Genomic DNA, 16,875 nt, shown 5'->3' with positions numbered 1-16,875 from the left:
TTGTTTTTCCACCCCAAAACCCCTTCTTCAAAACCTGTCTTATGCACCCTGTCTTTCAGGAAGCCCTCCCTGCCACGCCCAGGCTGAGTCTCTTGTCTTCCATGCTCTGAGGTTCTTCCTCCATCTTTGGATTCAAACTCCACTGTTCAAGTGGGCTGTTAGAAGAAGCAGGCTGCCTGTTTAATGGATGAGGGCTGGGCTGAGAGGGGAGACAATTTGGGGGAAATCATTTATTTCCCTCATCCATTTGGAAGAAACTTCCTCTATTACTCAAAATGCTTTGGAATATGACACCTTTTAAATTCATTTTCCCCCAAATCACTCTTCACGCTGCATTTTTGACCAGTGGGAGAAAAACCAGAGTCCACGCAGTGGCAGGCTATCCCTATCCTTTGTTCTGCCTGCTGTTTGGCCAAGCAGTGGTGTGTAAGGGAAGAGGGCTCCCCATGCCTGCTCTCCTCCCTCACATCCACATCTCATCCTCCTTCAGCTCTGTCTGTCCAGCCTTTAAAATGTGTTATTTTTATCCAAGCATCATTTCTCCAGGATATCCTAGATCCTCCCAACAGTCTCTTGCTCCCACCTTTGCCCCCAAGTCTCCTCTCCCTGGTGCTCAGATCATGCACCCCACCCTGTTCAAACCCTCCCTGGCTCCTTGTTACACCAGAGTAAGACACAGACACCCTTCCCTGCCCACAAAACACATGAAGCCTGCCCCCACTCGCCTGTCCCTCCCCTGCTCACCTGCCCAGCCCCCACCTGTCCTTCCCCCTCCCCCTGCCCTCCACCCCACCCCTCCCCTGGCTGTTCTCTGGAAACTTCAACTTTGTCCCCTGCAGAGGGCCTCTGCATCAAGTCCCTTCTCAGAGAGGCTTGGCCTGTTGCTTGCTGCATCCCAGCTGCCCCATCTCTCTCTGCTTTCCCCTCTGTGGGACGTTTGTTTCCATGATCCACCATGACATGGCCTCTGTGGCCCCACAGCAGATGGGGGACACCCAGAAGGGCTCTCAGGAGGGAGCTGTGATTTATCTCAGGGTACAGGGCCCTGCAGGTCCTTGCTAAGCACCAGTGTCTGCCCCTCCCATGGATGCCCAGCCCAGTCAGGGCAGCTGCGTCACTCACTATGTTGGCCTGGTGCCCGTGCTCTGTGAGTTCAGCTGGACTGTGGTGTCCTCACCGTGTTTGCTAACTTGTTCCCACCAGGCTATTTCCTTGGCCTCTGGACATGCAGCCTACTGTAAATGATCATCTCAGTGAACCTTGTGCAGCTTTGCCAGAGGGACCCTAAAAAAGATGCCCACTCCTCCTGTGTACTCTTGTGTGGGTGAACTGGCAGATGATGAGAAGGGGGTGTCACTCGGGGAGGGCTGGTGCCCTGGAAGCATGTGGAGCCTGCAACGGCCCTGCTGCTGCTGGCTAGGACAGAGTGGGAAGTCAGGTGGGCCTGGGGTACCCAGGGATGTGGCAACAGGACAGGGATTTTGTGACGGCCTCAAGGCGAGGCTTCTGGAGAGCCCCAGAGGATCCGGCCAGGAGCAGGCCCAGCTCCTCTCCAGCTTGCTGTGCCTCAAAGAATCCTCTGGATCTCTCTGCCTCAGTTTCCCTAGCTCACCACTGACAGGCTGGACTTCAGGCCCTCTGCAGTGGCCCACAGAAACACCCATGATTCTGCATGGCCACCCCAAAAAAGATGCTGAAGTCTTTTTCCTGTGAATATGCCCTTATTTGGAAAAAGGGTCTTTGCAGGTATAATCAAGTGCAGGTGAGGTCATTGGGGTGGCCCTAACCCAAGAGGCATATGTCCTTATGTGAAGGTCGTGTGGAGACAGAGACTCAGCAGGTGGCCGCATGACAAGGGAGACAGAGGTTGCAGTGATGCGGCCACAGGCCGGGAAACACCACAGCTGCCAGGAGCTGGAGGAGGCAGGAAGGATCCTCCCCTGGAGCCTCCAGAGACAGTGCGGCCCAGTGACACTTTGATCTGAGACCTCTGGCTCCAGGCCTGAGACAAGACTTTTCTGTTGCTTTAAGCTGCCTGGTTTGTGGCTGTTGTCACAGCAGCCCCAGGACACTGGCACTCCTGACATCTCAGCTGGCCGCCACCTTGAGAGGAACCAGCTCTTCTCCCCTGAAGTCTACCTTTCTCCAGCCTAGACCACAAGGAAGGACACTGTCTTGCACCCTGCAGGGAGCACCCGTGACCCCGTTGGGGGATGGAGACCCTGTGTATTGTGGGAGGACGTGACACATCCCTGCAAGGAGGACCATCTGCTTCCTCTCTCCTCGTGGTGCGTGGGCCTGACCTGGAATTCAGAGCTTTGGATTACCTCGCTGCCTGTGTGGAGGCTCCTCAAGTGGGACACCCTCTGTGTGTTCTGCTGTGTCGTCTATCTTAGGTCAGAGCCAAAGCACACGGCACACTTTTTAAGCCTTTCAGAGTTAATTTGTCAGAAGGCAGGGCCTGCTGGGTAAACACTGGGAGCTGGGGACCCCAGCCTGGCTGCCAGGGCTGGAGAGGGCGCTGCCTGGAGCCTCACAGAGCCTGGGAGCTCCACGCCAGTGCCGCTCTTCCGCCTGCCGTGATTGTCCCCGGGTAGCCGCTGAGCCCGCCCGTTGTCACCAGTTTTTCAGGTGACCTCAGTGGCCTGCCAGTCGGGCCTCAGGGCTCATGCAGCCCATGAAGAATTTCTGGGTCCTCGTTTTCCTGAACATTTATCTTCCATCCTGGAACATTTGCGCGTCCTCACTGAGAAGACAGAGAATGCACCCCAACCCTGGCCCCTGCAGGAGGCTGGGAAGCCGCGCTGGGACAGTGACGCCCTGCTCGTGACTTGCCGCCGGGCAGCCCTGGCCATTCCCAGAGCGGCTCTGGTCTCATTTCCGGGGATGGGGCCTCTCCTGTCCTGCCCCCTCCTGTTGGCACCCTCCCTGCAGCCGGGGCCTGGGGTTGGGAGAGGGAGGCTCTGACAGTAGGGAATGACCTGGCATGGGCCACAGCGAGGAGGCCAGAGGTGCCTGGGACAGGCACGGAGGGCAGGGCTGTAAACGGGAATTGGAAGAGGACGGGGCCGGGGCAGGCGGGATGGCAGCAAGAGCTGGCCAGAGTCCACAGGGCACATGGCTATTGCTCTAGCTCCAGCCCCATTTCTCCCAAACCTCCGAGTTTTGGGAAGCTCAGGAATTAAACAGTTATGTCCTAAAGACCCGTATCATGCCTTGAATCCCATGTGTGGGTGAAAAGTCATCGAGGCAGACGACAGATCCATATGGAGTGTGCCCTGAGCACGTGTATCCCCGGCACGGGGGGGTGGGTGGGGCCTGCTGTGTGGAATGACTGAGGGGCCGCTCCCCACTTCGGGGACCTTTTGGATGGAAGGCTGAGTTTCCAGGGGCCGAGTGGCATTTGGGAGTGGCCACTGCTGTGGTTACACTAATGGCATTATCTCCTGGCCCAGTGGAGGGGGCTGAGCCCAGACCCAGGCCACCTGCTTTGTAGGAACTCGGGGAGGCAGGGCAATGGCCACCAGCAGGGTTCCCATTTTATGGGTCAGGAAATGGAAGCCCAGCGAAGTGAAGGGATTTGCTCTTCCCTCTCACCCAGGGGCAGTTTAACCCCGCCTGCAGCCCCACCCAAGCCGGGCCCTATCTCGAGCAGTGACATTCAGAGAGGACAGAGAGCCACAGCATGTGTGGGGATGCTGACTTCAGGCCACGTGGCACTTTCTCATGGATGACATGTCCTGACCCCACAAGGGTTTTACCTCCCGGGGGTAATGCTCCGAGGCCGGGCACCCTACACTCCGAGGCCAAGAGCCAAAGCAGCTGAGTCAGTCACGAGACACAGGCCCAGATGCGCCATTCAGCTCACATAACGTGCAGCCCACATCCCTGTGGGTCAAAACAGCCAAGATCTATTTTTGCATGTTGCAAGTCCAAGGAGGGTTGAAGTTACTCAAGGCTCAAGGGGAGGGAGTACCCCATGCCCTGAGTCTCTGCTGCCCATGGCCCAAGGCCCAGGAAGCAAGCAGTCAGAGCCAAGAGCCAGCAATCGCCCCCACCCAGAAGACCCACTGCCAGGCCCAGCTCCAGGGGCAGGGAGGGCAGGCACAGCCATCAGAGACAGCCGAAAACCTGCCCAAGAGTCAGGTCACACTCCGTATGGATCTGCTCTTCCAGAAACACAGCCGTGCAGTAGCCTGGATGTAGCCTCTGCCCCGGTACTAGAAGGCCCCGTGGCATAATCAGAAACAGATTCCTGGCATGGAGCTTTTAAAGCCCTTGTAACTTCCTGAGCGATGGGGTGAGAGAAACATCACGTGTTACAATATTTTGTCCTAGCTCCTAAGACCCTTGGACTCTTGGGAGACATGAATGTTTTCTGTTTGTTGATGAGATGCCTGGAGGTGAGGCCCTAGCCAGCTTCAGAATGGGGTGCTGGTGGCAGAAAGATTAAGGCAGATGCCTGGAGGTGAGGCCCTAACCAGGTTCAGGATGGGGTGCTGGTGGCTAGAAAGACCAAGACAGATGACTGGAGGTGGGGCCCTAGCCAGCTTCAGGATGGGGTGCTGGTGGCTAGAAAGACCAAGGCAGGAGGCGGGGCCCTAGGCAGCTTCAGAATGGGGCGCTGGTGGCAGAAAGATTAAGGCAGATGACTGGAGGCGGGGACCTAGGCAGCATCAGAATGGGGTGCTGGTGGCAGAAAGACCAAGGCAGGATTCGAGGCTGGGACTTGCTGGAACCTGTGACCTCCGTGCAGAGGTTGGGGACTGAGTCAGTCACCAGGAGTCACTAACTTCACCAGTCATGCGTCACGGAGGCTCCTTCAAACCCCCACACAGAGGATGCAGAGAGCTACCGGGCTGGGAACACATCCTGAGCTGGGAGGGCGGGGCAGCCGGGGCTCCACGGATGCCAGCTCCTGCACTCAGGGTCCCTCTGGGCCTTGCCCTGCGCACCCCTCACCTGCTGCTCATCTGTGTCCTTCAGCACACCCTTTATTAGGAGAGTAACCCAGCAAACAGAAGTGACGTTTCCCTGAGTTTTGTGAATTATTATAGCAAATTATTGAACCTAAGGAGGGGGTCATGGGAACTCCCAATTTATAGCCGAGGTACTGGGGACAGATGACACCCCGGGACCTGTGATTGGCACTTGGAGTGGGGACAGTTTCCTGGGCCCATCCCTCAGCCTGAGGGGTCTGTGCTGACCCTGGTCAGTTGGTGTCAGAACTGAATTAGATTGCGGGATACCCCATTGGCACTGACGCAGAATTGGAGAATTGGTATGGAAACCCACACATTTGGTGTCAGAAGTGTGGTAAACACAGTTTGTTTTCATTTACCCCCATCTTGCTTCTGTCTTTTAATGCCACTTTATCCTATTCCTAAAACTGAGCTGTGCTGGGGGAAGCTGAGCCCTGCAGGACGTGCCCGGTCTGGGCCCCGGCCGCGGCTGTGCTCCTTCAGCTCCAGGCATCTCCCAAGCCTGCTGCTGCTTCCTGAGCTCCCATGCCCAGGCCGCAGGTGCCAGGCCGCAGGTGCCTCCTCACTGTTGCAGGGGCAGAAGTCCCTCTACTGCTGTGTATTTGGCTCCGAGTCTCACGCCCAGCCATTCCCAGTGCTCCTTTCCCCTCACCTGCATCTCCTCTGTGGAGCCTGCCTTTCCTCCCTGCCTGTCCCTCTCCTTCCCTCACCGTCCTCTTGCCACCAGGTTGTCAGCATTTTGCAGATAGGACTTGTGTTGGATGGGGCTGTGACTAGCTTTCCATGTGACATAAAACCTGAGCATCTTGATGTGAGGAGTCTTGCCATGTTGTTTGGATTTCACTGAATTAAAATCTGGGTTTTGTGGTCATTGTCGTGGACTGAATGTTTGTGTCTCCCCTAAATATATCTGTTGAAACCATAACCCCCAAGGTGAGGGTATTAGGAGATGGGTCCTTTGGGGGCTGATGAGGTCATAAGAGTGGAGCCCTTGTGAATGGGATTCGTGTCCATATAAAAGAGGCCCCAGAGAGCTGCCTTGCCCCTTCCACTGTGTGAGGACACAGTGAAAAGACAGCTGTCTGCAACCTGGGAGAGCTTTTAACAGACTCCAACTGTGCTGGCACCCTGGTCTCCAATTCCCAGCCCCCAGCACTGTGAGGAAATAAATGCCTGTTTTCTGAACACCATCCAGTCTACAGGCACCGTTGCGGCACCCAAGCCAGGACAGAAGATCAGTGCGAGGAGTGAGAGCTGCTGCAACCAACGCCTGTGAATGTGGATGTGGCCTTGGAACTGATGAATGGGGGCAGCTGGAATCATTCGGAGCCACATGCTAGAAAAAGCCTAGATGGCTACGAACAGCTTTTTAAAGGTGATTCTGGTGCGGGCTCAGCAAGAAGAGAAGCACTGCAGAGAGAGCCTCTGTCTTCTCAGAGGACGCCTAGGGGATCGTGAGCAGAACCCTGGATGGGAAGGCTCAGATGGAAACCAGGAACATGCTAGTGTCAACTGGAGGAAAGGCCACCTTGTTAAAAAGCAGCAAAGAACTCGGCCGAACTATGTTTGTGTCCTGGTGTTGTGTGGAAAGCAGAACTTGTGAGTAATGAAACACGATACTTGGCTGAGGGGGTTTATAAGCAAAGTGTTGAAGGGACGGCTTAGTTCCTCCTGGCTGCTTATGGTAAAATGTGAGAAGCTAGAAATGATTTCAAGACCAAGCTGTTAAACAAAAAGAAACCAGAACTTAAAGATTTGGAAAATCCTCAGCCTATGCATAATGTAAAAAAATGAGAATGTGTGTTTGGAAGAGAACATTAAGGGCATAGCCAGATGACCATCTGATAAGGGGATTTGTGTGGGTGTGAACCACAGTCACAACCAGCTGTCCCGGCAGGAACACTCAGCTTGAACCAAAGGTGGGAGAGAGGGGAAGGAAGTGAGTTTGGCCGTCTGACCTCTTGGGTTGTACCGAGCAGGACCAGGGAGCTATTTGGCTGTGAACATGCACTATTCTTCAAGACAAGGGAAGAAGGACCCAGAAGGTGATTTAGAGTCCATCAGGGCTGCCACATGGGCAGCTGCTCCCTGGGAGCAACAGGCCAGATGCTCCCTGCCCAAAGCCTTGGGGGCAGGGCTGCCCAGAGCCTTGCAGGCATGACCCCTGCCCCCCAGAGCTGCAGGGGCAGGACCATGGCCGTAGTGGGTCTGGAGGGCAGGGGCTCAAGCCAAAGAAGATGATTCTTGAGCCTGAAGATTTAACATTGTTTGCCCTATTGGGGTCCAGGCTCCATGGGACCTGTTACCCTTTTCTTCCTTCCCATTTCCCCCTTCGGAATGGGAAAGTCTGTCATATGGCTCTCCCACCATTGTATTTTAAACGCATGTAACTTGTTCCATTTTACAGGTTCACAGCTAGGGAGGAAGTAAACTTTGAGTGTCACCCGTATCTGATTTAGATGATGTTTAGATGAGACTTTGGACTTTAGACTTTAGAGCTGATGGCAGAACGAGCCACCACTTTGGGGTTGGAGGGGTGAAATGAATGTGTTTTGCACATGAGAAGGACGTACAATTTCGGAGTCAGGAATAGAATGTTATGGGCCGATTGCATCTCCCCAGAGTTCCTATATAGAAATTCTAACCCTGGTGTGGTGGCGCTAGGAGGCAGGGCGTTTGGGAGGTGATTAGGTTGTGGCCCTCATGATGGGGTCCTCTTATGAAGGAGACCCCAGAGAGCATGCTGTCACTTTTGCTCTGTCTGCCACATGAGGGTGCAAGAAGAAGACAGCCGCGAGCAAACCAGGAAGAGTGTCCTTGCCAGAACCCGACCCTGCTGCCACCTTGGCCTCCAACTTCCAGCCCCTAGACTGTGAGGAACACAGCTTGTTGTTGAAACACCCAGTCAGTGGTATTTTCTTACAGCAGCCAAAATCCACTAACGGTCATCAAGAAGCTGATGTGTGATTAGGAACCACCTCTTGCCCAATGTGCGGGGAATCAGTTGGACCCTGACGGAGCTGCCTCGGTCAGGAGTCCCGGCTGCAGGGGACATCCACAGAACCCAGAAGTTATGGAGAAGCCACTGGGGCACAGGCAGCCTGGCTCCCTAGGATGCAGAAGACACCAGGCTCTCCGCCCCCTCCCTGCTGCAGGCCGCTTTCCTGTGCCTCTTGCTATGGTCAGGGGTGCCGTGTTCCCCTGGAACACGTGCCGCCTTCTGCACTGCCTTGAGTCTTTGGCCCGCTTGTGTCTTGGACTTACCGCAGTGCTGTTTTGTGAGGGGCACAGACGCACACCATCAGCGCTCAAGAGGCAGACACGAGATCGGGTGATACTGGGCCAGCAGGCCAGTGTGCAGCACCCTCCACTTCCCGGCCCTCTTGGATGGTCACCTGTCCTGAGCCTGTGGCCCAGCGGGGCCCTGTCCCCTTGATCTGTGCATATTCGCAGGGGCGGGGTGCTGGTGGAGAACTCAAGGGGGCCCAGGGCTGGGAGCAGCCGGTGCTCCTGGTGAGCTCACTCTGACCAGCTGCACAGGCCATGTGGAGGAGGGGACGATCCCCAGGTGCCCCACAGGCCCCCTATCCCCCGTCTCTTCAGGAGAGGGATGACGGCCACTCCCAGTGGTGACTCAATGCCTGTGCCACCCACATCATCAGCTGTGCTGGCGGCTCACAGAAGACGACGGGACAGTCCATGTTTTATGCCCATATATCATATATTTTTTATCTACCATGGGTATCTACATACATTCTTGCTGCACGGTGCCGAGATGCTCAGTGTCTATCTCTGACAGTGAAATTGTGATCAGTTTTCATTCCTACTTTTTGTCATCCATATGTGATGAGGTTTCAACAAGGAACCTATTATTACTTGTGTCGTAGGAAAAATAAAGTTATTTTTAAAAGCAAACGTATGTCTAAGTGATGTAATCTATTTGCTGGGTGTAATAGGCTAGAATGCTCTCAGAAGCCTCCCACCTGACAGCTCCCCTCAAATCTGTCAGCGGGGAATAAAACTGTAAGGGCGCGATGGCCTTTTGGTTGTTAGTTTAGCAAACTGCACGAGTAAGACACAAGCGCGTTCTCGTCCATCAACACCAAGTGGGTCATCGTGGCGGGGCAGGACCAGTGCTATGAACTCGCTGTAATTTGGAATTCTACCCGAGAAAAATGCGGTTATTCAAGGGACACTTTGACCCTTGCATTTGAAGTTCTTGCATTTTACTTGGACCAACATTATCAATGCTGGGGGTCTATGGTCTCCACTCTCCCACCACAAACATCGCTGGTGGTGATGCTTAATGAGTTGCCATTTTGACTTCTGATGCTGAGAATAGCACTAATGCCAAGATATACTTTTTTTTTTTTTTTTTTTTTTTTTTTGAGATGGAGTTTTGCTCTTGTTGCCCAGGCTGGAGTGCAATGGCGCGATCTCGGCTCAACACAACCTCTGCCTCCGGGGTTCAAATGATTCTCCTGCCTCAGCCTCCCGAGTAGCTGGGATTACAGGCATGCGCCATCACGCCCAGCTAATTTTGTATTTTTAGTAGAGATGGGGTTTCTCCATGTTGGTCAGGCTGGTCTCGAACTCCTGACCTCAGGTGATCTGCCCGCCTTAGCCTCCCAAAGGATATGCTTTTATCTACCTACTCTTGTTCTGAATAATGACCTCGTGTGTCTTCTCTGAGGATGGTTTTTCCTGAGCCCTGGCTGCCAGGGCGTCTCCCAGGGCTGCAGGTGTCTCCAGGTCTCTCGTCCTCTGGGTCTCTCACTGCTGCCCCGGACTCCATCCCCTTTCCTGTCCCCTCCATGCAGGCTCCACTGTTCCCAGGACTCTCAGCTCTTCCTGCTGCTTGTTCACTCTGCTCCCGCAGCTTGGAAGCCTGTGGGCCACTTCCTGCCACTTGCCTGAAGGACGATGACCCCTCAGAGAAGCTCAGCAGCCCAGGACTGCCCCCATCTTCTCCGCCCACAGCACCCCTAGGGTCACGGTGCTGCCTTGCTGTGCCACCCGGCTCATGTGCCCCTCCCATGCCACTGTCACCAGTGCCAGGCCCTGGGAGCCCAGGGGTCTCTCTGGAGCAAGCACTCCCTCGGGGTTCGTGAGGCAAATGAATGATGTATGATCTCTAATACTGTCAGCCATTCTGATGGAAAGCGCTGGCACTGTGGTCCCTGGAAGTCCATTAGGACTGTGGTGACAGGCTGTCCTCGTGAGGTGTCCCTTCCTTCGGGGAAGCCTGGGGTCTTCTGACCAGAGGCCTCAGCCGTCCTCTGAGCTCTGTGGGCTGAGAGTTGAGGCTGGGCCCATTTGAGCATCACCTGGATGTGGGCGCTGAGCTGGAACTGGGATTTTCCAGGGACCAAGGCTTAGGAACAGCCAAGCAGTTCACAGGAGGCCAGAGAGGCTGCAGCGGAGGGGAGGCTGTGGCGGAGGGGAGGCTGTGGCAGAGGGGAGGCTGCGGCGGAGGGGAGGCTGCGGCGGAGGGGAGGGGGAGTTCAGGGCAGCTGTGCTGGGTGCAGCAAGGAGGCCTAGATCCTGAGTAGGAGCAAGTGAGGGGCACATGTCCCTCCAAGATGGAGAAGGACCCTGGGGGGACCAGCACCTCTGCTGGGGATGGAGCTGTGGTGTTTCTCAAAGTGGGGTCAGGGCACTCCCAGCCCATGCTGACCTCACAAGCTGGAACCCCCAGGGTTTTGTGTGCACTGGACTTTGAGAACCCTGTCCAGGAGGGGTCCCTTAGAGGAAGAGGCGGCAGGGCTGAGTAGGGAGGGGTGCCTTCAGGAATGAGGACTGTGGAGGGGAGTTGGTGTGGACAACCCAGATGGCTGTGCTGGCCCTTGGTGGAGAAAGGGACAGGCTTGGGGTGGGGAAGACTCAGAACTTGGCGGCTGTGGACCTGGGGAGGAGGAGCGGGTGTGGCTGGCTGCTCAGCTGCAGGAGCAGGAGCAGGCACCGGGAGCCTTTCCGGCATCTGTGATCTGCAGGGCAGCTGGGGCGGGCTCATGGTGCCCAGCAGGTGGGTCATGAGGGCTGTTGGTGAGACCCGGAATCAGCCCACCATGGGGATGGTGGGTACAATCCCTATGAGATGCCTGGGCACACTGAGAGCTCCTTATGGGATAAAGACTCCATCCCCACAGCCCCCACCACCACTGAGGCAGGCTCCCCCTCCCTCCAGCAGGCAAAGGCACTCACCCAAGCCCACACAGGAAAGATCTTCCCAAAGGAAAGCTTGATTCGTGACAAAGTCCACAAACTGCCACAAATTCTATTTCTAGTGAAGCTGAAAAAATGCACACTTTTTAAATAGCCTGCCTGTCCCTGAGTGCCACAAAACGCAATTTAAGGTAAACACGTGGGTGCCTCAGTGACAACATTTGCAACATTAACCTCGCTTTTAAAATTAATTTTTAAATTGAGGAATAACATACATATAAAATGTACCATCTGCACCATTTTAAAGCGTACAGCTCAGTGACGAGAAACACGTTTAGATTTCCCTCCTTTATCGCCCCTCCGCCTCCTTCCTCTGGGAACCGCCATTCCACTCTCTGCCTCCACGGGAGCCTCTGGTTTAGCTTCCACACGAGTGACAGCGTGAGATGTTGGTCTTTCTGTGCCTGGCTTATTGCGCTTAACATAATGACCCCCAGTTCCATCTATGTTGCTGAAAATGACAGGATTTCATTCTTTTCGATAGCTGAATAATATTCCATTGTGTATATTTACCACATTTTCTTTATCCATTCATCCACTGATAAGCCCTTAGGTTGATTCCGTATCTTGGCTATTGTGAACGGTGCTGCAATAAACACAGGAGTGCAGAGATCTCTGACATACTAATTTCCTTTCTTTTGGATAAATACCAGTAGTGGAATTGCTGGATTACATGGTAGTTGTGCTTTTCGTACTGTTTCTCATAGGGGCTGTACTGTGCTACCTTCCCACCCACAGTGTTCTACACCCTCACCAGCGTCTGTTATTGCCTGTCTTTCTGATACAAGCCATTTTCACTGGGCTGAGATGGTAATGCACTGTGGTTTGATTTGCATTTCTCTGCTGATTAGTGATGTTGAGCATATTTTAAAACACCTGTTGGCCTTTGTATGTCTTCTTTTGAGAAAAGTCTGTTCACATCTTTTACCCATTTTTAATCGGATGATTATTGTTTGTTATTGTTGTTTGGAGATAGGGTCTCACTCTGTTGCCCAGGCTGGAGTGCAGTGGCACAGTCATGGCTCCCTGCAGCCTCTGCTTCCCGGGCTCAAGCAATCAATCACCAATCCTCCCGCCTCAGCCTCCGGAGTAGCTGGGACCACAGGTGTGCAACAGCACGCCTGGCTAATTTTTGTATTTTTTGTAGAGACAGGGTTTTGCCATGTTGCCCAGGCTGGTCTCAAACTCCTGGGCTCAAGCAGTCCACCTGTGTTGGCCCCCCAAAGTGCTGGGATTACAGGTGTGAGCCACTGCACCTGGCTGCTTTTTTTTTTTTTTGGCCATTGAGTTGTCTGAGCTCCTCATATATTTGGGTTATGAATCCCTTGCCATATGGATAGTTTGCAAATATTTTCTTTGATTCTGTGGGTTATCACTTCACTTTGTCAACCTCACTTTTTTGAACTTGCCATTTCTGTCTTTGGCAAAATGTTAAGCAGGGCACAGGGTGGCCCTTGGGGAAGTCCACACAGTGACTGCAGCCTGGTGAGCCCTTTCCAAATGAGCCAGTCTCCAAGGCTTACCCCAGGCCCCAGGTCCCCGCGACACACTCCAAAAGCTCCAAATGAGCCAGTCTCCGAGGACTCAGGTCCCCGCAACACGCTTCAAAAGCTCCAAATGAGCCAGTCTGTGAGGACTCAGGTCCCCGCGACACGCTTTAAAAGCTCCAAATGAGCCAGTCTCCGAGGCTTACCCCAGGCCTCAGATCCCTGCGACATGCTCCAAAAGCTCCAAATGAGCCAGTCTCCGACGCTTACCCCAAGCCTCAGATCCCTGCGACATGCTCCAAAAGCATAGTCCTAGTTTAAGACTTTTTTTTTTCTTTTTTTTGAGACGGAGTTTTGCTCTTGTCGCCCAGGCTAGAGTGCAATGGTGTGATCTTGGCTCACCGCAACTTCTGCCTCCCGGGTTCAAGCAATTCTCCTGCCTCAGCCTCCTGAGTAGCTGGGATTACAGGCGCCCGCTACCACACCCGGCTAATTTTGTATTTTTAGTAGAGATGGGGTTTCTCCATGTTGGTCAGGCTGGTCTCGAACTCCTGACCTCAGGTGATCTGCCCACCTCAGCCTCCCAAAGTGCTGGGATTACAGGTGTGAGCCACTGCGCCTGTCCACTTTATCAGATTTTTAAAAATGTACTAGAAAATCATAAGAAGAAAAATAGCTCATAATCGCAAATGATCCCTTTTGGTCCTTCTAGAAAAGAAGTAATTCATGATTGAAACCTGGAATATTTAGATATTACAGAAATGTGCACAGAGCCAGAGCCTTCTCACCTGGCCCCACCACCTTCCCCACAGAGCCAGAGCCTTCCCACCTGGCCCCACCACCTTCCCCAAAGAGGCTCCTCTTGGATTCATTCTAGGAAGTCACTCCTACACACACGCCCGTCCACACTCACAGCCGCACCCACCCACACAGACCCTGAGCCCCAGTCAGCACCTGGCTGCCGGAGGGCACATCCTGCATCTGTGTCCTTAGAAAACCGGGTTTTAAAAACACCTTAAGATAACAAGCGTAGCACACCAATATGGAGGCCAGAATACTTGGAGGCAGTCTGGGATCAACAAGCCATCAGGCAGGTGGCTGGTGGTCGGCCACCTTGAATCCCACCCTTCCGTCTCCCTGGGTGGGTCCTTCTGGAAGCTTCCCCACAGCATCCTCCCCATGGCTCCTGGTCCCCTTAGGCGCGGCGCGGGGGGGCTCCTGCTCTCCAGCCCCCTCCCTATGCGGACACCCAGGGCGGGCCCCAGCGGGGTCTGTGCTCTGTCTGGGAGCAGGGATGTGGCCAGTCCAGGCCCTGTGTCCGCAGATCCCAAAGGGTCCAGGGAGCCTGGCCGGGGGCAGACCAGGGCATCTCCATCCTGCTTCAGGCGCTGGGGGAGCACGGGCAGGGCGGGGTCGCCGTCCCACGCCATCGCCCCTGAGCCAGGCTTCCTTCTGCGCCCTGACTCTGCAGGGACTGGGCGGGAGAGGTGCGCCCGCCTCCCTTCCCTAGTTCTGGGTGATTCACATCAAACAGGAGGCGTCTTTGTTCCTCCCTGGCTCTTCGCTCCCACGCGGGCCTTTCCTTGCTCCTCGGAGGCCGCGAGGCGTGAGCAGGCCCGTGGTCGCCCGGCGGGGCCCGCACTAATTACAGCTCCGCCTCCCTCGGCTCCTCCCGCGCCTTTGAAGTGGGGGCTGCGGCCCCGCCGGCCTCGCACCCGGTAATTGCAGCTTCCCCCCGGGGCCCTGGGGACGGCTGGTTGCTAAGCTCCCTTGGTCTTTTCAACAGGTCGTTGGGGTAAATTACAACGCAGCTCACAGTGGAAGGGAAAGCGTTTGCCTCTACCGGGTTTAGATTCACGTGGGTTAATCTGTAAAGAATTTTAAGAACATGCTTGGCTGGGTAGGGTGGGCTTTGCCTCGGGCAGGCTGAAAATGACAGGCTTGGTGAACCCGAGGGGAAGGCGCGCCGGTGGCCTCCACCGTGGCTGAGGCCGCCTGGTCGTCTAGGAGACAAATGGCCAACACTCCCTTGCCTGTGCCTTTAGACCAGAAAGCCTCGCCAACTGAACGTCGGCTTCCTTTCCCTAACGAGCTAAGAAAACTCGGTCGAATGCTTGCACCGATGCAGATGTTGGTATTTGAAATAAGCCAAAAGTCAGTGATTGAGGGAAAAGGAGGAAAAAATAGTTCTTTCTTACCCCTATTCCCTTGATTCTCTGCAAGAGAACATACTGTTGAGTCAGTCCTTTGGAGATTTTGTCTCCAGCAGTAAATGATTGTAGAAATGATGACCTGCGCTGGGGGCAGGGGAGTTTTGCCTGTGGAGATGTCATAGCTAGAGATGCAGGAAGGCTTTACCCACCCCTCCCCCGCCAACAGTAGCTGCCTTCTGTCTTCCTGGAGCGCGTGGCCCCCTCAGCCACTCCACACCTGCCTTCCACACATGGACATCAGACCGACTGTGGACAAATGTGGCAGAGCCCAGAATCTTCAAAGAGAAACTCCAGGGCCCTCCTTAAGTTGCAAGTGTGACATAATTTACTGAGTCCTTGGAAAGGGTTTGTCTGGGCTGAGTTCATACTAAAGAGTCTCATAGAAATTTATGGGATATTATTATAGAGCAGAATATTGTGGAAAACAGTAAATAAATGCCTAATTCATGTCTCAACCTACTGAAGGAAGGGGGTCCATTGAAAACAGATCCCGGCCAGGCACTGTGACTCACACCTGTAATCCCAGCACTTTGGGAGGCAGAGGCAGGCAGATCACGAGGTCAGGAGATCGAGACTATCCTGGCTAACATGGTGAAACCCCATCTGTACTAAAAATACAAAAAAAAAAAAAAAAAAAAAAAAAGGATCCGGGCGTGGTGGCATGCATCTGTAGTCCCAGCTATTTGGGAGGCTGAGGCAGGAGAATCACTTGAACCCGGGAGGCAGAGGTTGCAGTGAGCCGAGATTGCGCCACTGCACTCCAGCCTGGGTGACAGAGTGAGAGACTGTCTCAAAAAAAAAAAAAAGCAAAAAGAAAACAGATCCTACCATCAAATAGGTCACATTGAAATTCCCTAGAGGGCTGGGCACAGTGGCTCACGCCTGTAATCCCAGCACTTTGGGAGGCCAAGGCAGTTGGATCACAAGGTCAGGAGTTCGAGATCAGTCTGGCCAACATGGTGAAACTCCGTCTCTACTAAAAATACAAAAATTAGCTGGGCATGGAGGCGTGCGCCTGTAATCCCAGATACTCGGGAGGCTGAGGCAGGAGAATCGCTTGAACCCAGGAGGTGGAGGTTGCAGTGAGCCGAGATTGTGCCATTGCACTCCAGCCTGGGCAGCAGAGTGAGACTCCATCTCAAAAAAAAAAAAAAAAAAAGAAATTCCCTAGAACAGTGGTTTCCAGGCTTTTACGCTTTAATTTAGGAGAATCTTTTTCCCCCAAAGTGACATTACGTAGAACTCCAATATATGATAATAATAAAAGCAGAACTCCTCTGTTTGTGAAGAGGTCAAGATCCAGGAGCCTCACACCCTCAGTTCAACCCCCTCCTCTTCCTCCACCTCCTCCACTCTCCCCGCCCTACCTTAGCGTGTATGTTGGAAAATAATTTCAGAAGCACTGCCCTATCTATCTTTTTATGTATTTATTTATTTTTGAGACAGAGTCTCACTCTGTCATCCAGGCTGGAGTGCAGTGGTGCAATCTCAGCTCACTGTAACCTCTGCCTCCTGGGTTCAAGCTATTCTCCTGCCTCAGCCTCCTGAGTAGCTGGGACTACAGGTGCATGCCACCAGGCCAGGCTAATTTTTGTAATTTTAGTAGAGACGGGGTTTCGCCATGTTGGCCAGGCTGGTCTCGAATTCCTGACCTCAGGTGATCCACCCACCTCGGCCTCCCAAAGTGCTCAGAATACAGGCATGAGCCACTGCGCCCGGCCCTATCTATCTATCTATCTATCTATCTATCTATCTATCATCTATCTATGACATATTTTTCTGGAAAATCACCCACTTCCTTTGTGTGTGTGTGTGTGTGTGTGTGTGTGTGTGTGTGTGTATACATATATGAGTGATTTATTTTAAGGAATTGCCTTATGTGATTGTGGGGGCTGGCAAGTCCAAAATCTGCAGGTGAGTTCAGCAAGCTGGAGATCCAGGCAAGAGTTGGTACAGCAGTTCGAATCT

The 16,875-nt window shown here is 53.8% G+C and overlaps 6 annotated features.

Annotated features, from left to right (window-relative positions):
- Nucleotides 1,255–1,930: an enhancer, noted in NCBI's record as "H3K27ac-H3K4me1 hESC enhancer chr21:46155959-46156634 (GRCh37/hg19 assembly coordinates)". NCBI's record gives its function as "activates a minimal SCP1, AML or CMV promoter by ChIP-STARR-seq in naive H9 embryonic stem cells {active_cell/tissue: H9 hESC(naive)}" and the evidence as "EXISTENCE:reporter gene assay evidence [ECO:0000049][PMID:30033119]".
- Nucleotides 1,931–2,604: an enhancer, noted in NCBI's record as "H3K4me1 hESC enhancer chr21:46155285-46155958 (GRCh37/hg19 assembly coordinates)". NCBI's record gives its function as "activates a minimal SCP1, AML or CMV promoter by ChIP-STARR-seq in naive and primed H9 embryonic stem cells {active_cell/tissue: H9 hESC(naive and primed)}" and the evidence as "EXISTENCE:reporter gene assay evidence [ECO:0000049][PMID:30033119]".
- Nucleotides 4,631–5,306: an enhancer, noted in NCBI's record as "H3K4me1 hESC enhancer chr21:46152583-46153258 (GRCh37/hg19 assembly coordinates)". NCBI's record gives its function as "activates a minimal SCP1, AML or CMV promoter by ChIP-STARR-seq in naive H9 embryonic stem cells {active_cell/tissue: H9 hESC(naive)}" and the evidence as "EXISTENCE:reporter gene assay evidence [ECO:0000049][PMID:30033119]".
- Nucleotides 5,307–5,982: an enhancer, noted in NCBI's record as "H3K4me1 hESC enhancer chr21:46151907-46152582 (GRCh37/hg19 assembly coordinates)". NCBI's record gives its function as "activates a minimal SCP1, AML or CMV promoter by ChIP-STARR-seq in naive H9 embryonic stem cells {active_cell/tissue: H9 hESC(naive)}" and the evidence as "EXISTENCE:reporter gene assay evidence [ECO:0000049][PMID:30033119]".
- Nucleotides 6,620–7,120: an enhancer, noted in NCBI's record as "H3K4me1 hESC enhancer chr21:46150769-46151269 (GRCh37/hg19 assembly coordinates)". NCBI's record gives its function as "activates a minimal SCP1, AML or CMV promoter by ChIP-STARR-seq in primed H9 embryonic stem cells {active_cell/tissue: H9 hESC(primed)}" and the evidence as "EXISTENCE:reporter gene assay evidence [ECO:0000049][PMID:30033119]".
- Nucleotides 7,121–7,621: an enhancer, noted in NCBI's record as "H3K4me1 hESC enhancer chr21:46150268-46150768 (GRCh37/hg19 assembly coordinates)". NCBI's record gives its function as "activates a minimal SCP1, AML or CMV promoter by ChIP-STARR-seq in primed H9 embryonic stem cells {active_cell/tissue: H9 hESC(primed)}" and the evidence as "EXISTENCE:reporter gene assay evidence [ECO:0000049][PMID:30033119]".

This window comes from Homo sapiens, chromosome 21, assembly GCF_000001405.40.
Source record: "Homo sapiens chromosome 21, GRCh38.p14 Primary Assembly".
NCBI classification, from domain to species: Eukaryota; Metazoa; Chordata; class Mammalia; order Primates; family Hominidae; genus Homo; species Homo sapiens.
This window is presented reverse-complemented; position numbering and strand designations above follow the sequence as displayed.